General features: G+C 44.9%; 2 protein-coding genes across 16 annotated transcripts in view, besides 2 other annotated features; one reads left to right on the forward strand and one right to left on the reverse strand.

Moving 5' to 3' along the window:
- CCT3 (chaperonin containing TCP1 subunit 3) overlaps window positions 1–1,900 on the reverse strand; it is a 29,325-nt gene extending 27,425 nt beyond the window's left edge. For 2 of the 4 annotated variants that reach the window (NM_001008800.3, NM_005998.5), the window contains exon 1: window positions 1,762–1,900. In NM_001008800.3, coding sequence (NP_001008800.1) covers window positions 1,762–1,792 — 31 coding nt within the window. In that variant the 5' untranslated portion in view covers window positions 1,793–1,900. Of the gene's footprint in view, window positions 1–686; window positions 849–1,284; window positions 1,398–1,761 lie in introns of all 4 variants that reach the window. The other 2 variants (NR_036564.2, NR_036565.2) reach the window with 2 other exon arrangements.
- On the forward strand, window positions 922–10,603 carry TSACC (TSSK6 activating cochaperone). 12 transcript variants are annotated; one of them, NM_144627.5, is made up of 4 exons: window positions 922–1,157; window positions 3,242–3,399; window positions 8,188–8,316; window positions 10,376–10,603. In NM_144627.5, the coding sequence occupies exons 2-4, from the start codon at window positions 3,366–3,368 to the stop codon at window positions 10,588–10,590; spliced, it is 378 nt and encodes a 125-aa protein (NP_653228.1). In that variant the 5' UTR covers window positions 922–1,157; window positions 3,242–3,365; the 3' UTR covers window positions 10,591–10,603. The 12 variants fall into 12 exon arrangements, 11 of the variants coding, with proteins under 11 accessions (NP_653228.1, NP_001291750.1, NP_001291754.1 ...); NM_001304821.2 differs by lacking the exon at window positions 922–1,157 and adding an exon at window positions 2,134–2,472; NM_001304825.2 differs by lacking the exon at window positions 922–1,157 and adding an exon at window positions 2,134–2,472 and having other exon boundaries at window positions 10,387–10,603.
- Window positions 1,611–1,710: an enhancer, noted in NCBI's record as "active region_1858". NCBI's record gives its function as "activates an Ori minimal core promoter by ATAC-STARR-seq in GM12878 lymphoblastoid cells {active_cell/tissue: GM12878}" and the evidence as "EXISTENCE:reporter gene assay evidence [ECO:0000049][PMID:35858748]".
- Window positions 2,631–2,690: an enhancer, noted in NCBI's record as "active region_1859". NCBI's record gives its function as "activates an Ori minimal core promoter by ATAC-STARR-seq in GM12878 lymphoblastoid cells {active_cell/tissue: GM12878}" and the evidence as "EXISTENCE:reporter gene assay evidence [ECO:0000049][PMID:35858748]".
- Window positions 10,604–16,910: the final 6,307 nt, after the last annotated feature.

Consider the following 16,910-nt stretch of genomic DNA (forward strand, 5'->3'; position numbering starts at 1 on the left):
ATTCACATTTTTCTGCTTGGATAGGGGGATCATACTCTAACAGGTCCAGCATAATTAGTGATAGCGCCCCCACAGCATACTGTTTAGAACACACTCAACAGTTTGCAAGATAAATTATATAGTCACCTCATAATTGGATGTAATAAGAAGGCCTCAGTAACCCATTTACCATCACTAAGAACTGACTACATACTTTAACTGGGAGGCTAATCGGTCACAGCCAACTAATGCCAGAGATTAATGCAGACCTGAAAGGAGCTTTGCAAATACACCACTCACCCCCAGGCCATGTCAGTGGAGACAAGCCAGTGGTTATAACCAAACCAACATAATGTTTATTTCCTTCCTCTCTCTAAATTACCTTCCTTTACAATTTAAGTCTGTAAATCTTTCAATCCAGTCCCATCAAACCAAAACACCCACAATGCTTAGGATTTACATCTATCTCAGGGAGCTGTAACCAAAAACCTGCATGGACCTACAATCCATCAGAAAGAAGGCGGCTTTTTTTTTTCAAAATAGCGTTTTTATTTTATTTTTTTCCTTAAAAGTTATTTCCCAGGTACAGAGATAATGAATAATAACTCTGAAAGGCAGTCAGTATACAGAAGACGGTAAGGGAGGGGAGATGGCTAGCCAGGCTCTGCAGATGAGGTACAGAAGTTACACACAGAATGGAAACATACCAAAGGAAGACAATGGAGGTGGTGCTCATCAGAAAAAAATAAGGGACCGGGCGCGGTGGCTCACGCCTGTAATCTCAGCACTTTGGGAGGCCGAGGTGGGCGGATCACCTGAGCTCATCAGCAGTTGGAGACCAGCCTGGTCAACATGGTGAAACTCCGTCTCTACCAAAAATACAAAAATTAGCCGTGCGTGGTGGCGCGCGCCTGTACTCCCAGCTACTCGGGAGGCTAAGGCAGGAGGATCGCTTGAACCTGGGAGGCAGAGGTTGCAGTGAACAGAGATCGCGCCACTGCAACCCAGCCTGGGTGACAGAGCGAGACTTTGTCTCAAAATATAAAAAGAAAAAAAATAAGGGATCTTCCAAAAGGAAAAGGTGACCAGTCGAGAAATCTGGGAAAACCCAACTGGTTAGTGGGAAAGAGTACAACGCCGGGGACACGGAGGGAACGATTACATCTAAGATCAGTGAGGCAAGTACGGTTACTTCGGGAAAAGGGATTGCTGTTCAAGAGACTGTTACTGAAAATAAATGTAACGTAAAGTGACCAAGGATATTACCTATTTACCAGACCCTCTTTAAGCAGTCTACCGACTTACCTCATTTAATTCTCACAATTCTACTAGGAAATACTGTTAACTCCGTAATACAGATTGAAACATTTAAATTACCGCTACTAAGGGATGGGCCAAGAATATAAAGCTAGACCTAACTGAAAAAAAAACAAAAAAAAACGTTATTCGTGCAGCTACATAGCGACAATCAGGCTAGAAAGGGCGCAGGGGCGGGGGAAGCGTGGGGGCTGAGGGACAGAACGCGGAGTGGGAAAGAGCTTCCCAAGACGAGCACACGTCAAGGAAAGAGGCTCGGCGAGAATAAGGCCAGTTTGAGTTTGTGCAGAGAAGCGAACAGGTTAAGAGAAGAGAGGAAAGCGGGACACTGGGCTTCCAAAATGAAGACGATGATTGGAAGGCTCAGTGGCCCGGTCAGTGGGGGACGGAGCTGGGGCAACACTGAAAAGTATGGACAGAAGAGGGCGAAAAGGGGGTCCATTTCCTGGCATCCCCAGAACTCACTGAGCACGAGCACTGGACGATGGCCCATCATGGCGACGCGATGCAGAGCCGGGTACCCAGAGCTGGGGGAACCGGCAGAACCTTCTGGAGAGAGAGAACCAGACAGAAGCCCAGAAAACGCTGCCTCCTCAGGGCTTACACCTCAACCCGCTACTCTCAAGGTAGTCGCCAATCACCGCACCCATCTCATTGATCGGCACAAAAACAGACCAATTGACAGCCTTAGTCCCGCCCCCTACGCAAGAACGGCCAGACAAGTTAGACAGAGAGCGCACGACGAAGGCACTGGGAGGGCACAGGCGCTTGCGCAGTAGGGTGGCCGCTCCCGGCCGCGTGCAGCGCGAACGTCGGCGCAGGCGCCAAGGCTCTGGCAGTTGGCCAGCACACCACTACGCATGTGTGTCAACTCTAGGGTTGGGTGCTGGGGTTGCGGCTTTCGGTTAACACCGCAGGTGAGGTCGTTAAACTGTGTATTGCGACTCGGCTCCTATCGGACCGTGAAGGCTAAGAAAGGCTTCACAGTTCCCACTCTTTTGGTCTAGCCTTAGCAACAGGTGGACTAGAGAGGCGGGACTCCAGCCAGCACATGGGGGAAAGACCTGCCGGCTTGGCGCAGGGTGAAGTGGGAGTTGTAGTCTTACCGGGCCGGACTGCGCAGCCTTTTTCCGGGCACACTGGGAGTTGTGGTTTATCGCCTCTGGACTAATGGCTGTATGTGGACTTTTCCCTTCTTAGGAAATGCTTTCAGTGAGGCTGTGAGCAGTACCGGAGGGTGATGGCTTGCGTTTCCTTAAGTTATCCTATCTAAAATATTTTCCCAAGTATTTCCGCCGGGCGCTGTGGCTCACGCCTGTAATCCCAGCACTTTGGGAGGCCGAGGCGGGTGGATCACCTGAGGTCAGGAGTTCGAGACCAGCGTGGCCAACATGGCGAAACCCCGTCTCTACTAAAAATACAAAAATTAGCCGGGCGTGGTGGCGCGCGCCTGTAATCCCAGCTACTCAGGAGGCTGAGGCAGGAGAATCGCTTGAACCCTGGAGACGGAGGTTGCAGTGAGCCGACATCGTGTCACTGCACTCCAGCCTGGCGACAGAGCGAGACTCCATCTCAAAAAAAAAAAAAAAAGTATTCCCTGTGGTGCTTTGAGATTTTTTTCCCCCACATCCATCCCTCTCCCGCTGTCCTGAGTCTTAGTTAGAGATGATGGGGAGCCAGAGTTTTAAAATTACCATTCGGGATAGGAGAAGGACTTATCATACCGTGGAAATTAAACATGGTGAGAACACGGAAAGTAACTGCCTGTTCGTCAGAGACGTTTAAGGTTTGGGTTTGGTTAAATTACTATTTTGTCCAGAAAAAAAAGGAAGCACTAAAGGAAAACTGTTTTCCAAACTAGTGAAGGGGCCGTGAGAGCACCAACAGTTCAAGAACAGTCACCTGTTTGGCCATGAAATAGAGTTTCCTACTTTTTCCTCTGCAGATTGGAACAGGCTGAGATCTGCTGGAGACAACTTAGGAAATTATCATAGTGAAAATACTAACATGGATTGTTGATCATCTGATGCTATGATTCTTTCCCAGGCACCACACCTGTTGGTGTTCAGATGGAGCGGCACACTAGTCATCCTAACAGAAAAGGTGTGTGTTGGAGGCCCTGCTTCCCCTCCCTTAAAAAGCAAGACCTCCTTTGCATTCCCCACTAAATGGGAGCATTGCTGTATTCCCAGCACCTAGAACTGGATCTGTTAAATAGTAGATGCTCAGTAATTATTTGTTAAATGAATTTATTATTCTTCCTTTGTATCTCCTCTTAATACTTAGAACAAGACTATGTACAGGATCTTAGAAGACATGGTGTTAACTAGAGTGAAGAGATACTGAGTTGTAGTGGGACAGCCCCATTGGTGGGCCAGGGAAATGCCTGAGGCCTTCTGACTCCAGAGCCTATCCACTTAACTTTAGCTGGATCAGATTATCTGAAAGACCTACCATTCCATAGCCTGGACATAATTTTTTTTTTGTTTAGACGGAGTCTCGCTCTGTCACCCAGGCTGGGGTGCAGAGGCACCATCTCTGCTCACTGCAAGCTCCGTCTCCTGGGTTCACGCCATTCTCCTGCCTCGGCCTCCTGAGTAGCTGGGACTGCAGGCACCTGCCACCATGCCCGGCTAATTTTTTTGTGTTTTTAGTAGAGACGGGGTTTCACCGTGTCAGCCAGGATGGTCTTAATCTCCTGACCTTGTGATCCAACTGCCTTGGACTCCCAAAGTGCTGGGATTACAGGTGTGAGCTACCGCCCCCGGCCTTTTTTTTTTTTTTTTTTTTGAGATAGAGTTTTGCTCTTGTTGCCTAGGCTGGAGTGCAGTGGCACTACCTTGGCTCACCGCAACCTCTGCCTCCCGGGTTCAAGCAATTCTCCTGCCTCAGCTTCCCGAGTAGCTGGGATTGCAGGCGTGCACCCCCACGCCCAGCTAATTTTGTATTTTTAGTAGAGATGGGGTTTCGCCATCTTGGTCAGGCTGGTTTCGAACTCCTGACCTCAGGTGATCCGCCTGCCTCGGCCTCCCGAAGTGCTGGGATTACAGGTGTGAGCCACCGCGCCCAGCCCCAGCTTGGGCATAAATTAACTGGCTCTTTTCACAGAGTATATAGTGCAGTGGTAAAGAGCATGACTTTGGAGTCTACAGGACCAAATTTAATTCCAGCTGCTATTTGCCAGACCCTCTTAAGCAGTTTACCTACTTAGGATCACTGCCACCTCTGTCTCCTTGATTCAAGTGATTCTTGTGCCTCAGCCACCCAAGTAGCTGGGATTACAGGTGTATGCCACCACGCCTGGCTAATTTTTGTATTTTTAGTACAGACTGGGTTACGCCAGGTCTTGAACTCCTGGCCTCAAGTGATCCGCCCACTCTGGCCTCCCAAAGTCCTGGGATTACAGGCGTGAGCCATCGCGCCTGGCCAGTTTACCACTTATTTAATGCTCACGATTCTACTAGAAAATACTATTAACCCCACAACAGATCGAAACATTTAAATTAACTGCTACTAAGGGATGGGCTAAGGGTATAAAGCTAGGCCTAACTAAAAAAACATTATTCATGCAGCCACACATATCAACTGTGGAATCTTGAGCAAATTTCATGACTTAAGTTTCCTCAAGTGAAATGTAGGTAAAGCTACCTACTTTATCTACATTCCTCAGGTCACGTTCCCCAGTGCCACAAGACTCTCATAGCACTTACTGAAATGTAATAGTTTGTGTGCTTGATCACCTAATGACTGTCTACACTGCAAGACTATCAGTTCCAGGAGAGTAGTGACCACATCTGTTTAGCAGACTGTGGTATCCACAATGACCCTACTTTAAGGGTCATTGTGAGAAACATATAAGAGAATGTATGTAAAGCACCTTTTATTATCATATCCTCTGTTCTGCCTCCTTTTGCCTCTCTCCACCCTCATCCTCTGTTATACATTGTCAGAAATACAGCTCCTTTAGTATAGAGTGTGTGTAAAGCAGTCTCTTTCTTTAATTAAAAAACAATTTTTAATTTCTCATGCCACCTTGTGTAAAAATGTGTAAAGCATTCTTCAAACCTTATAACCCAGTATAAAATGCATTCTTGGCCGGGCGCAGTGGCTCACGCTTGTAATCCCAGCACTTTGGAAGGCTGAGGCAGGCAGATCACGAGGTCAGGAGATCGAGACCATCCTGACTAACACGGTGAAACCCGTCTCTACTAAAAATACAAAAAATTAGCCGGGCATTGTAGTGGGCACCTGTAGTCCCAGCTACTTGGGAGGCTGAGGCAGGAGAATGGCATGAACCTGGGAGGCGGAGCTTGCAGTGAGCCGAGATGGCACCACTGCACTCCAGCCTGGGCGACAGAGCAAGACTCCGTCTCCAAAAAAAAAAAAAAAAGAAAGAAAAAAAAATGCATTCTCCTATGTCCAGGAAGGACTCAAATTATTTAAAAGTGCATTTGCATGGAAATTAACACATTTTGCATGGAAATTAACACATTATTGAGAAGAATCTTGAGACCTGAGTTTCAACTTCTGTCTCCTTACCACATTCTGCACAAGCCATCAAGTGACTGATGACTCTGGAGCAGGAGGGAAAAGAAGATGGATGACCTACCAGTAGAGCCTGGAAAATCCACAAACCCAGTAACCCAGTGCAAAAGAAAAAAACCAAAACCAAAAAAACATATTTCCCTCACCAAGAGTGACTGACAGAACAGATTTCAGTTTTCATAGGCTCAGTGACCTTCCAGACAGAAAGCATCTCACCCTGGCACCCACATATAAGCACTTCTTCCTCTTACCAGGCCATTCCTTCTGTTGCCCTCTGAGTAAAGAACAAGAATAAGACATTTTCCTTCATACAACCTACTTTTCACACTTCTGCCCCCAGGCTTGTTTTTTATGAAGAGGCCCTTCTTAATCCTTCAGATCCCAGCTGAGATATTATTTCCTCAGGACATGTTTTCCAGCTCTACAGACTAGGTCAGTTGCTTTCATAGCACTTACTGAAGTGTAATAGCATGTGTGCTTGATCACCTAATGCCTGTCTGCACAGCAAGACTGTCAGTTCCAGGAGAGTAGTGACCACTTCTGTTTAGCAAACTGTGGTATCCACAGCGATGACACATAGGCACTTAGCTATCTCTTATGTGTATGATGAAAATGAATTGTTTTACCATCCTTTCTTGATTTCATTATAACAGTGAATTATTGTCTCCCTACTGTCTTGCCTTTTTAATTCTTACCTAGTTCCAGCTGTCTGACTTTCCATCCATTGCCCTTGTCTACTTTGCCACTTCCTTTTCATCTTCTAGACTCCTGAGGAGGAGTTCCTTGAAGGTTCAGTTTTTCTCTCTCTGTTTTTTGCCTTGGAGAGCTAATGTATTTTTGCAGCTCCTTCATCCCCTTTTTGGGGCTGCCTGGCAGTTTGACCTTTCACTTGAGCTCCGGTGCCAGCTCTCTGGCTGTTTTTCTGGGCACTTCTATTTGGATTTCCTACTCTCACCTCAGATTCAATATGTCCAGATGTGATTATGTTAATATGAGAGTTGAGTTTTACTCAAACTTCTTTAAGTAAAAAAGGCAATTCAGGGACTTGTGCAGTTGGGAGAGATGCTGAAATAGCTCACAGAATAATGGGAAGAAGAGCGGCAAAAACCAGGGCCTCGGGGACTAAAACTGGGGATTTGGTGCCTGTTGGTGTCTGTGTATCCATCTGTCTCTCTCCTATGCTTTTCCTTGTCTCTAGTCTCTTGCTTTTCCACTTCTCATGATATGCTAGCCAAATAGCTTTCACTGGGCCCAACCATACATTTTCTCAGAATAGGAGATCAGAAGAAAGTAAATTTCTTAGACACAGAATCCATATATTGATCCCAGGGAATGACTCTGGCCCAACTTACCTCATGCGCCTAATCCCTTGGCTCAGTCACAGTTGCCAAGGGGGATGGGAATACCATGATTGGCCTGTATTGGGTCACAGGCCAATCCTTGTTAGGGAGAGGGGCTTGATTGTGGTCTCACCAGTATAGCCTGGCTTCTCAAGTTTTTTGTTGTTGTTGTTTCATTTTTTTTGAGAAGGAATCTCACCCTTGTTGCCCAGGCTGGAGTGCAGTGTTGTGATCTCGGCTCGCTGCAATCTCTGCCTCCCGGGTTCAAGTGATTATCCTGCCTCAGCCTCCCAAGTAGCTGGGACTACAAGCGTCTGCCACCACGCCCGGCTAGTTTTGTATTTTTAGTAGAGACGGAGTTTTACCAGGTTGGTCAGGCTAGTCTTGAACTCCTGATCTCAGGTAATCTGCCTGCCTTGGCCTCCCAAAGTGCTGGGATTACAAGCATGAGCCACCGTGCCCAGCCGCTTCTCAAGTTTTTAAGGTTCAGTAAATATCCTCTACCTGAAAGGAGGTAGAGTTCTCTCGCTACTCATATTGATCTCTTCTCCCTTTTAAGAAACATTCATTTTTACCTTTAATCACATAGTATAACTAACAGATAAAAGGCTTTTATTTTCACCCCAGACTCAGACTCATTGTTTATGTCCTCATGTTGTTAGATCACTGTTTCACCTGTGTCTGATTTGTCTTCCTAACTAGATACTAAGCATCTAAGAAACCATGTCTTAACACATCTTATGTATACCCTAGGATTTAGTACAGTCGCAAGCATGTAGTGTATATCAGTAAGAACTTGTAAACAAATTAGATTTTGGCTTATCCCACTCCTGCTTGGTTTCTCTTAATCCTATTATGATTTCTTTTTTGTCTTATGTATCTTTCTGATATGTAACATATTCACGGCAGGGCCTGGGCACCTGCTTTCATGGACCAGGTGCAGGGATCTAATTAGAAAGGCTGTCCCTTGTTGGAATGAGCTCTGATTTAGTTATCTCTGATTTAGTTCCAGCCAAAGAGGAAGCTAATGCTGTGCCTCTCTGTAGAGCAAAACCCTCCCCCAGCTATATTAATCTTCAAGCAAGTTCCCCACCAGCCACTTTTCTGAACATCCAGACAACAAAGCTGCCCTCGGGTAAGGATGTAGGGAGGGTTTTCTAATGGACTCAACAGGGGGAAGGGTTGCATGGAGGAGGTGGCTTGAGCTGTCGCCTATTGATCAAGAGCCAAATCTATGTTAGGCATCTATAGATCTTTCCGTGATAGCTTGTTGATTATTTAGTTTCATTGATATCATTATCATCCCAGTTCTACCAACTTGTATTGTTTCCTTGCTTGTTAGCACTTTTGCTAGACTAGGCAGGAGTGAAGTGAACCTCTCATTGCTTACTGGTAATGTTAGTTAAAAGATGGCCAGGTTTACCCCTGTTCACTTGGGAAGGTAAAATTTTAAAAAACGGTGGCTAGAGAAGGAAACTATTAGCTCAGTCTCAGGGTCTTTGAATTTTCATCATTCATCTTCCCTTGGGGAGGTCAGTGGGTATTTGGCATAGCTATGGGGAACCCAACAGGGCACTAACTAGACAGTCATAACCCCTGTTTTTGAGGACCTCAGAGTCCAACAAAGAAGTCAAGACTGATAAAAATACAAACAGCAGATAATATAATTACCAAGGTTAACTGGCTGTGTAAAATATTAGAAAAAGTGGCTGGGCACGGTAGCTCATCCCTGTAATCCCAGCACTTTGGGAGGCCAAGGCAGGTGGATTGTCTGAGGTCAGGAGCTTCAGACCAGCCTGACCGACATGGTGAAACCCTGTCTCTACTAAAAATACAAAAATAAGCTGGGCGTGGTGGCAGGTGCCTGTAATCTCAGCTGCTTAGGAGGCCGAGGCAGGAGAATTGCTTGAACCTGGGAGGCGGAGGTTGCAGTGAGCCAAGACTGGGCCATTGCACTCCAGCCTGGGCAACAAGAGTGAAACTCCATCTCAAAACAAACAAAAGAATGGACTGGCAGGGCTCGGTGGCTCATGCCTGTAATCCCAGCACTTTGGGAGGCCAAAGCGGGCGGATTACCTGAGGTCAGGAGTTTGAGACCAGCCTCACCAACATGGTGAAACCCCATCTCTACTAAAAATACAAAAATTAGCTGGGCATGGTGGCACCTGCCTGTAATCCCAGCTACTTGGGAGACTGAGGCAGGAGAATTGCTTAAACTGGGAGGTGGAGGTTGCAGTGAGCCAGGATTGTGCCGCTGCACTGCATCCTGGGAGACAGAGCAAGGCTCCATTGAAAAAAAAAAAAAGAAAAAAGAAAAATATTAGAAAAAGAATGGACTGGCCAGGTGCAGTGGCTCACACTTGTAATACCAGCACTTTGGAAGGCCAAGGCAGGTGGATCACCTGAGGTCAGGAGTTCGAGACCAGCCTGGGCAACGTGGTGAAACCTCGTCTCTACTAATGATACAAAACTTAGCCAGGCATGGTGGCACATGACTGTAATCCCAGCTACTCAGGAAGTTGAGGCAGGAGAATTGCTTGAACCCAGGAGGTGGAGGTTGCAGTGAGCTGAGATCGTACCATTGTACTCTAGCCTGGGTGACAAGTGAAACTCCGTCTCCAAAAAAAAAAAAAAAAAAGAAAAAGAAAAAAAACAATGGACCAATGTAGCAAGAATGGTTGAAGTTAGGGAACTTCAGGTCACTGCTAATGATACACTATGTCAAGTAACAGAGGAGGCTGAGGTATCCCCTGAGCTCTAGGGAAGGTAGGCCTCCCTCCCAGACCATTTCATTCACTCATCAAATATTTGTTATATGCTGGGCATTTTTCTAGGTGCTAGGGTTAAAGTAGTGAACAAATCAGATAAAAATCCTTGCCTTCCTGGAGCTTACGTTCTAGAAGGGGGACTTAGACAAAAATTAAGTAATTATAAAATATGCCATATGACCATAAATATTATGGGAAAAGTGAAACAAGGGAGGGGGTAATAAGTTCCAGTGATTGATTTCAAATTAAAATAGGATAGCCAGGTATGCCTCACTGGGAGGTGACAGCTGGGCAAAGGTATGTCTGGGTTGGGTTGTGCCTGGAAAGATTGGAGAGGTCATTTTATTAGGGTCCTTCCAACCTCAGTACAATTACCAAATCTCTCTCCTTTGTTCCCTTGCACCTCCGTTGCTTTTCCTTCTGGAGTTGATCACAAGCCCAAGGAATGCCTAGGACTCCTGGAATGTATGTATGCAAACCTCCAGCTTCAGACCCAGCTCGCCCAACAACAGATGGCTGTTTTGGAACATTTACAGGCATCTGTGACACAACTGGCTCCTGGGAGGGGAAGCAATAACTCTTCTCTCCCAGCCTTATCTCCTAATCCATTGTTAAATCACCTGCCCCAATTCAGTAAATGAATTGTGGAACAAAGTTATTGTGTTGTTTTCCTCTCTCTTCCCAGTAAACCCTTGTTGGAATCTGGGTATATGTATTCTACATATGGTTAGTTTGTTCACAGGTTCATAATAAGTGCTCACTGAGTGCAAAGCGTTGTACAAGGCACTTGGGGTTACATATTACAAAAGGAGTTTGCAGGGATTACTGTCTAACAAAGCAGACAATTCATTGCAAAATGTAGTGGTATTCTGAAAGAGGATGGAGGTTAAGAACTAACACTGGAGGTTACTAGGATACAACTGGACCAATTTTAGAATCTTGCTGGAGAAAGTGGCTTCATGATGCCACTTGAAGAAGGGAGGGGTTGGATGGCATGGACAGATGAAGTCAGGTAGTTCCATATCAGTTGGGAAGCTTGGACAAAGACCTAGAGGTAGACGTATTAGTCCATTCTTGCATTGCTATAAAGAAATACCTAAAGTTGGGTGATTTGTAGAGAAAATATGTTTATTTTGGCTCATGGTTTGGTTCTGCAGGCTGTGTGTGCCACATCTGCTTCTGATGAGAGCCTCAGGGAGCTCTGCATCACCATGGAAGGCAAAGATGAGCAGCGTGTCACATGGCAAGAGAGGGAGCAAGAGAGTGAGGGAGAAAAAGAGAAGGGAAGTACCACACACTTTTAACCAGGCAGATCTTATGTGAACTTAGAACAAGAGCTCACTCATCGCCAAGGGGATGGTGCTAAGACATTGATAAGGGATCCGTCCCCATGATCCAAACACCTCCCGCCAGGCCCTGCCTCTAACACTGGAGATTACATTTCAACATGAGATTTGGGGGGGACAAACATCCAAACCATATCAGTAGGAGAATAAGTCATCACAAATAAGGGGAAGAGTTTTTCCCCTCCAGAATATAGAGTGTGAAATAGAATGTAAAGGAGCTGAGGCAAGTCAGCTTTCCCTGCAGAATTATTCTGATGGCAGCTTTTAGAAGGTCTGGAAAGGGGCTGGGCACGGTGGCTCACACCTGTAATCCCAGCACTTTGGGAGGCTGAGGCAGGCAGATCACTTGAGGTCAGGAGTTACAGACAAGCCTGGCCAACATGGTGAAACCCTGTCTCTACTAAAAAATACAAAAATTATCCAGGCGTGGTGGCACGCACTTGTAGTCCTAGCTACTCTGGAGGCTAAGGACTAAGGCAGGAAAATCGCTTGAACCCAGGACGGGGAGGCTACAGTGAGCTGAGATTGTGCCACTGCATTCCAGCCTGGGCGACAGAGCGAGACTCCCTCTCAAAAAAAAAAAAAAAAAAAAAAGTCTGGAAAGCCATTGTCAGCTTCCAGATAGTGATGAGACACATGTAAGATAGTAGAAACACTACGGGCAAAACATTTTGATGTGGAGGGAGAATGAAAGTTGAGAGGACTGATGCTACCCAACTTCAAGACTTAATATAAAGCTACACTAATCAAGACAGTGTGGTACTGGTGAAAGAATAGACATATACCAATGGAACAGAATAGACAGCTCTTGAAAAAATTCACACAAATATGGTCAACTGATTTTTGACAAAGGAGCAAAGACAATCCAAAGGAGAAGGGATAGTCTTTTCAACAAATAGTATTGGAACAATTGGACATCACATGCAAAAAAATTAGACCCTGCCTACACCTTTCCCAAAAAGTAATGCTCACTGAAAAGGCCTTGAAACAGTGATTAACTTGGTAGCAACAATACCCCTAGCACCCAGATTATAGTCACTAAATACCACTTTTTTCAAGAAAGGAAGGAAGAATCCTGAAGAAATGACTGTTTTCAGGTCTCAGGCAGGAAAAAAAATACAACATAAGCCTAGAATATCTTACCCTATTTGGTAGAAAGAGGCTATCAAATCTTGCTAGAATTGCATTAAAAAAAAAAAACTCTCAGGAGTCAGTCTGATTAGAGACATACTTTAAAAACATTTAGGCAAAAGTAAATGGATGGAAAAAGATATAGTAGGCCAAAGGTAATCAGAGGATGACTGGAATGGCTATATTAATATCAGAGAATGTAAAGTAAACTTTAAGACAAACTGTACTGTCACAAATAGAGACATTTCATAATGATAAAAAGGTTAGAATAAACTGTTACATTCATGCAATTGAACACTACTTAGAAATAAAATAGAACAAACTACTCATAAATGCAACAGTATGAAAATATCTCAAAAACATTACATTGAGTGAAAGGAGTATTACACAAAAGAATACACACCGACTGGGTGCAAACTGGCCAGGCGCAAATTGGCCAGGCGCGGTGGCTCATGCCTATAATCCCAGCACTTTGGGAGGCTGAGGTGGGTGGATCAGGAGTTCGAGACCAGCCTGGCTAACGTGGTGAAACCCCGTCCCTACTAAAAATACAAAAATTAGCTGGGTGTGGTGGCAGGCGCCTGTAATCCCAGCTGCTCAGGAGGCTGAGGCAGGAGAATTGCTTGAACCCAGGAGGCAGAGGTTGCAGTGAGCCGAGATTGTGCCATTGCCCTCCAGCCTGGGGGACAAGAGCGAGACTTCATCTCAAAAAAAAAAAAAAAAAAAGAATACACATTGTACCATTACATTTATTTGAAGCTCTACTACAGGCAATATTAATATATGGTAGATAAAACTAAAAATAGTGGTTGCCACTGGGGGAGGAGTTGGAATAGGGATTGACAGAAGGGGCATAGGAAACTATAGGTTGATGGTTTTATATTTTGATATAGTGGCTTGGGTTACACAAGTTTATGCATTTATCAAAATTCATCAAACGGTACCCTTAAGATTTGTGCATTTCACTGGATATAACATTTATTTTTGAGACAAGGTCTCACTCTGTCATCCAGGCTGGAGCACAGTGGTGCAATCTCCACTCACTGCAACGTCTGCTTCCCGGGTTCAAGCAATTCTCATGCCTCAGCCACCTGAGTAGCTGGGATTACAGGTGCCCTCCACCATGCCTAATTTTTGTATTTTCAGTAGAGACGAGTTTTGCCACGTTGGCCAGGCTAGTCTCGAACTCCTGGCCTCATGTGATCCTCCTGCCTCAGCCTCCCAAAGTGTTGGGATTACAGATGTGAGCCACTGCGCCAGGCCTACTGGATATAAATTTTACCTTAAAAAACTGTAAATAAATACTGAACTGTACTTAATGCTATGCATACAGAAGGTTTTAGGGTTGAAGTATACTGACGTCTGCAATTCACTCTGAAATGCGTACAAAAATAAAATGGATTAATGGATAGATGTATAGTTATGTAAAAAAGCAAGTAGAATAAAATGTTACTGTGGAATGTAGTTAGTGGATATTTATGGGTTTTCACTGGAAAAAATTATTTCACCTTTTACGTATGTTTGAAAATGTTTGTAATAAAATGTTGAAAAAGTGTTGAAAATAAGAGTCCTTATGTTTGGAGATAGATACAGAAACATACACAGATGATGTCAGAGGTTTGCCTTAAAATAACCCAGGTGGAGGGGATTGGGTTGGGATGTGGGTGAAATAAAATTGGTCATATACGGTTAATTGTTCTGAGTGATAGGCATATTGGGTTCATTACACTATTCTCTATTTTGTGTATATTTGAAATTTTTCATAATACAAAGATTTTTTTTAATTGCAGATATTTAAAAAGTTTAAAACCATGCAGAAGGTATAAAATAAAAAAGCGGCCGGAGGTAGTGGCTCATGCCTGTAATCCCAGCACTTTGGGAGGCCAAGGTGGGCAGATGATGAGGTCAAGAGATCGAGACCATCCTGGCCAACATGGTGAAACCCCGTCTCTACTAAAAATACAAAAATTAGCTGGGCGTGGTGGCGCATGCCTGTAGTCCCAGCTACTTGGGGGGCTGAGGCAGGAGAATTGCTTGAACCCAGGTGGTGGAGGTTGCGGTGAGCCGAGATCACACCACTGCACTCCAGCCTGGCGACAGAGCAAGACCCCGTCTCAATAAATAAATAAAGCAAAAGAGCAAAACTCTCCCCCAGGACCCTAGGCCCTCCCCACAAAGAAAACCACTGTTGACCACTTTCTGCATATTCCAGAAGACAATTTATCTATACTAGCAGGTAGATGTGAACTGAATATATGTTTTTTTAATATTATTTTCTAATTTACACAGTGGTGGTATATTAGTTTCCTATTGCTGCTATAACAAATTACCACAAACCTAGTGTCACAACACAAATTTATTCTCTCTTATAGTTCTGTAGATCCGAAGTCTGAACAGATCAGGTATCACTGGGCTAAAATCAGGAGGTCCTTTTTTGGAGGTTCTAGAGGAGACCCGGTTTCCTTCTCTTCTCCGGTTTCTATAGGCACCACTTCCTGCATTTTTAGAACCACAAAATTGCATCTCTGTGCATTCTCCTGCAGTCACATCTCCTCTTCCACTTTTAAGGACCCTTGTGATTATATTGAGCCCACCCTGGTAATCTGGGATAATCTCCCATTTTAAAGTTATTTAATTGGCCACCTTAATTCCATCTGCAATCTTAATTACCCTTTACCATGTAATTTTTAATTGATGGGTTCTGCGGATTAGCACATTGTCATCTTCGGGGGAAGGGGTCATTATTCTACCTATGGTTGCAGAGGCGTGACTGATAGTAGAAGGAGATGAGATCAGAAAGGTAGTGAGGATACCAGATCATGTGTAGGGCATTGCAGGATATTTTAAAGACTTTGGCTTTTACTCTGAGTGAAATGGGAAGCTATTTTAACATTAGAGGATTGTTAAAAAAAAAAAAAGTCATGTGGGCCAGGTGCAGTAGCTCATGCCTATAATCTCAGCACTTTGGAGGCCGAGGCAGGTGGATCACTTGAACCCAGGAGTTTAAGACCAGCCTGAGCAACATAGCAAGACCTCGTCTCTACAAAAACAAAAATTAGCCAGGCATGGTGGCACATGCCTGTAGTCCCAGCTACTCAGGAGGCTGAGGTGGGAGAACTGCTTGAACCTGGGAGGCAGAGTTTGCAGTGAGCTGAGATCACACTGATGCATTCCAGCCTGGGCGGCAGAGTGAGACCTTGTCTCAAATAAATACATAAATAAAAAGAAATAGAAACAGGTTTTCGCTATGTTGTCCAGGCTGGTCTTGAACTCTTGGCCTCAAGTGATCCACCCATCTTGGCCTCCCAAAGTGCTAGGATTACAGGTGTGAGCCACTGCGCCCAGCCTGGACCCCTAAAAACTTCTTCAATGTGTCAGACACCTGATTCTTCTAATCTTACTAAAGTACTTGCCACTTCCTGATCATCAAGTCCAATTAGTAAGATGTCATTAATATAGTGGACTGGCATGATGTTGAGCAGAATAAGATAGCTGAATTCCCTGCAGACTATATTGGGTTAGAGAATAGGAGAGTTAACATGATCTGTGGCACAGTGATTGTGTGCTCTTGTCCTTCCCATATAAAGGCAAATTGCTCTTACTCATTCTTTTTTTTTTTTTTTTTTTTTGAGAAGTCTTGCTCTTATCCCCAGGCTGGAGTGCAGTGGCGTGATCTTGGCTCACTGCAACCTCCGCCTCCTGGGTTCAAACGATTCTCCTGTCTCTGCCTCCCAAGTAGCTGGGATTAAGTCGCCTGCCACCACGCCCAGCTAATTTTTTTGCACATTTTAGTAGAGATGGGGTTTCACACCATGTTGGCCAGGCTGGTTTCGAACTCCTGACCGCAAGTGATCCACCCGCTTCGGCCTCCTAAAGTGCTGAGATTACAGGCGTGAGCCACTGCGCCCGGCCGCTCTTGCTCATTCTTACCAATGAGTATGGAGAACACATTTGCCAGGCCAACAGTCACATACTAGTTGCCAGAAGCTGTCCAGTAAAGAGACCACATTCAGTGTAGCAGCTGAGATTGGGGCTACCATGTGGTTAAAGTTATGATGATCCTTTATCATTGACTCCAATCATTTGGCTTCTGCAGGGGTCATACAAGTGAACTGAATACTATATGAACTTGTATGTATCCCTCACTTAGTCCCAGCAAAACCACCATCCCAGTATTTGATGGTGGTGCTAATCTCTACAATTTTTCCAAAGACAGGTACTGCTTTTGATTTACTATCTTGTCCAGGGATGGGTGGGGTTGGTGGGGGTGGGGGGGCAGTTTCTAGAACATCTTGGCCTTTCCTTTTTTAATTTTTAAAATTATTATTATTATTTTTGAGATAGGGTCTTTCTCTGTTGCCCAGGCTGGAGTGCAGGGGCACTATCATAGCTCACTGTGGCCTTGAACTCCTGGGCTCAAGAGATCCTCACCTCAGCCTCCAGAATAGCTGGGATTACAAGAGCGTGCCACCATGTCTGGCTTG

This window comes from Homo sapiens, chromosome 1 (assembly GCF_000001405.40).
Source record: "Homo sapiens chromosome 1, GRCh38.p14 Primary Assembly".
In the NCBI taxonomy this organism is placed as follows: domain Eukaryota; kingdom Metazoa; phylum Chordata; class Mammalia; order Primates; family Hominidae; genus Homo; species Homo sapiens.

Bases quoted from the DNA above. Each gene is read 5' to 3' on its own strand.
- TSACC (NM_001304826.2), top strand. From the start codon at position 2,348: ATGGGGGAAAGACCTGCCGGCTTGGCGCAGG. The intron at 2,379-3,342 runs GTGAAGTGGGAG...ATTCTTTCCCAG, and splicing joins ACCTGCCGGCTTGGCGCAGG to GCACCACACCTGTTGGTGTT. The intron at 8,317-10,375 runs GTAAGGATGTAG...TTCCTTCTGGAG, and splicing joins GACAACAAAGCTGCCCTCGG to TTGATCACAAGCCCAAGGAA.